The sequence below is a fragment of the Homo sapiens genome, chromosome 7, assembly GCF_000001405.40.
Source record: "Homo sapiens chromosome 7, GRCh38.p14 Primary Assembly".
Classification (NCBI taxonomy): Eukaryota; Metazoa; Chordata; class Mammalia; order Primates; family Hominidae; genus Homo; species Homo sapiens.
The window spans coordinates 16,599,538-16,604,720 of NC_000007.14; the positions used below are offsets into that span (position 1 = coordinate 16,599,538).

Below are 5,183 nucleotides of genomic sequence, written 5' to 3' on the forward strand. Positions count from 1 at the left end.
AAGAGCCAAACTCCATTTCAAAACAAAAACAAACCAACAAACAAACAAAATCCACAAGATAGAATTTGATCAGCAAAGTGAGGTGAGAATTCTAGTCATTTTGTTCTGCAATTGTACATATTAAAATAATTATTACTTTGCTGTTCTCCAATATTTGTCAAGTTCCCTATTATTTTTTAAGTTCTCTAATACTTCTCTAATATTTGCCACTCCCCAGCAAATTATAAAACAAGATGAGTTGTTTATATTTGTAGGCACAATTTATTTTAAAATCCACACAAGAAACCCAGAAATGCAGCATTATCTTCAGACATCACATTCTAGCTCTGTTTAAATACCACATATGCTAAAAACCGACGCCAGGACATTCTCTAAATGAGTTACAAATCAGTTTCTGGAAAGGAAGTGCTCCATGAAAAGCTTATAGCAAGATAACTCAGGCTTTCAGGTGGAGTATGGCACGTGAATTAGCCTTACAGTAATTGTGTACATAGTATGTTTAGTCATTATTGAATCAAAAGTTTCAGGAAGTACCTTTTTTAATGCATACGCTGAGAGAACCGTCAATATGCCTTTGTTCCTGCTGAGGGATCTGCCATTCTGGAGGTACAAATACTGCAGATAGAATATCACCGCAGGACTACGTCAAGTTCAGAGTGTTCAGGATCATTTCTATATAAAACTACAATTAGCTGAACTATGGCAAAGGTCCTTGAACATAAAGCCTTTCTTCATTTCATTGCATCTTAATAAGTAGAATGCCACTACCGTAAATGCTGCTTATATGTATTTTATTCACATATAAGTTATGATTTTTCTAACTACCCTCTGTAGCTATAAATTTTTCCCTTCCTGAAAATCTCTCTTCCACACCTGTTCTGCTTGTCCCTTTGTTCCCTAAAGCCTGTATTTTTTCTTTAAGGGGATCTATTTTCCTTTGAAACAATTGCTGGAAAGCCAGCCTCAGAAAGGTAATAGGAATGTTTTTCCTGTATTTTGAAACAAAAAATTTTCCATAGGAATATCCATTCAATTATAGAACAGAAATCAATAGGAAATTAGGGCATGGTCAACAGGGGTTTGCTTGAAAACCTGTATTCTATGAAATGTGGAATCCTGCCATGGTGCCACGCAGGTATAACAAGGTGAGGACAATGCATTCCTAGGAGTTTTCCAGCTTCTTGCAGGGTGAGGATCATCCACACTGGCACTTGCTCTGGCTTTTACTCCTCAGACACCTGTGGCCCTGCAGGAGCATCCTGTAAGCCTTCCAACTCAGCTTCGCTTTCAAGAGATTCTTTCTTTCCTTCCCCGGAATCTTCAGGATTGGAATCCTTTTGAGAGATACCTACTTCAGCCTCTGGTTGCTCTTCATTAACACAGTTAGAATTGACATCAAGTTTGCCGTCTGATTAAAAAAAGAAGAAGTTATTTTGTTCCTACCATGTGTCAGACACTCTTCTCAATGCTTTACATGTATTATTTAATCTTCCTATCAACTACATGAGGTATATTAGTATCTCTACTGTCATCGCTAACGTTATTTTACAAATGAGAAAACTGAGAAGAGAGAGGTTTGGTAGCTTGCTGCAAGTTTCCTGGCTAGTGAAACAGCAGAACCAGCATTTGAACTCAGGCCGCTGGCTCCAAAGCCATCTCTAAATCAAGATTGTTGCTTGGGATTTGACAAAGCCTGTATTTGAATACAGCTTTTCTGTGAATTTATTTGATGTCCTTGGAGAGGTAATTGCCTGCATGAAGTTGTTTCCCTTGTCTATAATATGCAGGTAATAAAGGCTATCCTACATTGGTGAAGAATAAAGTTGTCTGTAACATTTAGAGCAGTGTTTGGTGCATGAATGATGCTTAACAACTGGGAGTGCCCATTCTACTGACAATCTTATTCTCCCTCAATAGTGTGTTAGTAATGAACATTTGTTACTTTCTGTCCTTAGCACATAGAATAAAAAAGTTTGGTCAAGAAAACAAGAGAAGGCATGGCAGTCAGAAAGCCTGACTATTCTCTTAAGGATAAATGGTTTAATTGTGTACAAACCATTTAATTCCACTGAGAGTATATCTCAACCCAGTAGTAAAGCGGATATGGTTCCTTGAGAGATGGAGGCAGAAATGCCTGGTATCAGAATAACCGAGGCATCTTTTTCAAATTACATGCACTCCCCCAGAACATATGATACATTCTCTGGAATGAGGCATGAGGGTGGGGGCAGTTCTCCTCTCCAATCTGATAATCACTGCTGAAGCAACTCACTATTTCTGATGAAAATGGGTCACAAAACCTCAAGAGGGATGGAGAAAAAAAAATACAAAATTCACTGCTATGACACTTGTAGAAATTTGATCTGTATATTAGATCTGCAATTTAATGAATGATTTATAAATATACTCTGTAATTTCACCTGTAGTTCTGAAATTTAATTAAGGAATTTAAAGGCTTCCACCCTTAAAATCTTCTGGTAGCCATTAGTGGAAATTTAATTAATTCCCTTATTCAAAGACTTTAAAATCCTTCATGAGCAGAATATAAGTTAATACCCATTAAGGGTCCCATTGTTCCAGGGCAGTAACCTAAGCTAGAATGTAAAATATGAAATAAGCTACATCCCTCAGAATTTGATGTCTCTGTTTTCCAGTGATGTCCAGGCTGACTATATCCTAAGAACTTAAAAACGGGACACATTAAAATTTAAATGTGATTCTTACATCGGTCACTCCTGAGCTCCTATGGCTTCCAGAGAAGACGCAGTTTCAGTGTGTTAAGATCACCTATCATCTCTCTCTCCACTAAAAAGCAGAGTGAACTCGGTTTTTATATACATACGGTTTTCCTCTTGTCTCTTTTCTTTGGCAGCCTCCAACTGTTGCTTTTCGTAAATGTCCTTCAGATTCTTACAGATTTTCTTATGAGTAAACCAGTGTGTTTTCTGGCAGGTTTGATCACAATATATTACCTGAAAGCAATTGTTGGTTTATTTTCATTTCCAGAGCTTGGGTTGTATGATTTCCTAACTATGACTAAACCAAGAACTAAGCTATAAAAATGTCATTTTCCATACTTTATTTTAAAACCATAATATGTGGTTGATATAGTTTGGATGTTGTCCCCTCTAAATCTCATACTGAATTGTGATCCCAAATGTTGGAGGTGGGGCCTAGTGGGAGGTGATAGGATCATGGGGGCGGTTTTCTCATGAACAGTTTAGCACCCTTCCCTTGGTGCTGTCCTCACAATACTGAGTGAGTTCTTACAAGATCTGGTTGTTCAAAAGTATGTGGCAACTCCCCCACCTCCTCTTGCTCCAGCTCCTGCCATGTGACATGCCTGCTCCCCCTTCACCTTCCACCATAATTGAAGGCTTCCTGAGACCTCACCAGAAGCTGAGCAGATGCCCATGCCATGCTTCCTGTATACCTTCAGAACCGTGAGCCCATTAAACCTCTTTTCTTTATAAATGACCCAGTCTCAAGTATTTCTTTATAGCAACGTAAGAACGGCCTAACACAGTATCTTTGTATTGATTTAGATTTATAGTTTGTAGCTTTACTTTAAAACAATAATGAATATATAACAAACAGTCTACCAAAGACTTTAGCAAATAGCTTATTATGAACCCGCTATGTGCCAGAATTGGTACAGTACAATGACAAGGAAGATAGAGTTGTCCCAAAGGTAGCTAGCATCAAGAAAAAGAAAGATATGGAAGAAGGGAGAGAGGCAGGCACCTAAATACATAATTTCTTAACACAGTACAGGATGTAAGAGTGATGGAGGCATAGAGGAAGCAGCAACTCACTCTAGCTGTGGTGAGTCGAGGTAGACAGAAAAATGGGAAAGAAGAATTCTAACTGGAGAAAATATCTAGTACAAAAATGCAGGAACAGGGAAGTGAATGATATGTTCAAGAACAGCAAGAAGTTTTTGTAAATGGCCTTATATTTTTGCAAGTAGGGGTGGAAAGGAGATGGGAATGAATGTTATTAAACACTTACTGTATGCCAAGCACTGTGGTAGGCCCTTATACATATATTGTATTATTGGCCCCAATTCTTCATTCATCCTTGCATTCATACACTTTCTCACATGATTTCAAAGTTCTCTGCACTGAAGGGGAGGAGACTTGACTTCAGATTGGGCCATGTAATTTGTTTCAACCAACAGCATGAAACAACATGGCAATTTCAAGGCTAGTCCTTGAGAGGTCTTCTGTGTTTCTACCTGCCCATGTGTACCTTTGCTATTGCCATGACAACATGCTCAGCCTAGCCTGCTAGTACAAGAAGGATGAGAGTCACATGGAGCACAACTGCCCCAGCTGAGAACAGCCAACCACAACTGTGAGAGAAAGACTAAATGATTATCATTTTAAGCACTGAGTTTGAGTGTGTTTTTATAAGCAGTAATAATTAACCAATATAAATAGTTTGATTTAATTCTGGAATTTCATTTAATTCAGGAAACAGGTTCAGAGAAGTAAGTCATTAAACAAGATGAAGCTGAAGAAGTAGGTCACAGCAGATTATAATGGGTTTCATACAACATGCTGGAGAATTTCAACCTTAAAGTCAACAGGCAGTTGATGCTACCTATGGGATTAAGTGAATGTACGGACACATGCATGTGTCCAGTATCTGGATATGAGAACAACACAATCAGATATGCCTTTTACAAAGATAATTCTGGCAGAAGGGGGCAGTACAGTCCATAGGGATTAAAGACTGGTAACAGTCAGAAACTATAGTTTTACAAGGATATGTTGATGAAGACACTGTCATTAAAGTCAACATCAGAAGAGTAAAGAATGTATATTTATGAACTGTCCTATTCTAGGTTTCACATCTGCACCAGCCTTGGTCTCGTGCCCCACGGAAAACCTTTCTCTTATTTTCTCATATTCATTCATTCATATCCTTTCTTTCCATGAGGTGATCAGCAAAGAGGCAAAGGAAGACTGGCAGTTTAGCAGAAGACAGACACAGTAAAGAACTATATTGATCCTATTAATTCTTTTCCAAAACTACTTTTTAAGTATTAAATAGAATATTTTCGTTACTAGAATTTATTAGAAAACTAATGTCCACTCTTACAGAATATTAAAACTCAATCATCAGCTTGGCTGCATCTAAACCAGAGGTCAATGAAATAAAAAGAACTCCATTCTTAC

The 5,183-nt window shown here is 37.9% G+C and overlaps 1 protein-coding gene across 1 annotated transcript in view; it reads right to left on the reverse strand.

The window, feature by feature from the left end:
* Nucleotides 1-241: 241 nt before the first annotated feature.
* The window catches only part of ANKMY2 (ankyrin repeat and MYND domain containing 2), a 45,976-nt gene continuing 41,034 nt past the window's right edge, over nt 242-5,183 (reverse strand). Inside the window, exons 9-10 of the mRNA NM_020319.3 lie at nt 2,843-2,972; nt 242-1,408 (exon numbers count right to left, since the gene is read on the reverse strand). Of these exons, the coding sequence (NP_064715.1) occupies nt 1,224-1,408; nt 2,843-2,972 (315 nt within the window). The 3' untranslated portion in view covers nt 242-1,223. The remainder of the gene's footprint in view (nt 1,409-2,842; nt 2,973-5,183) is intronic.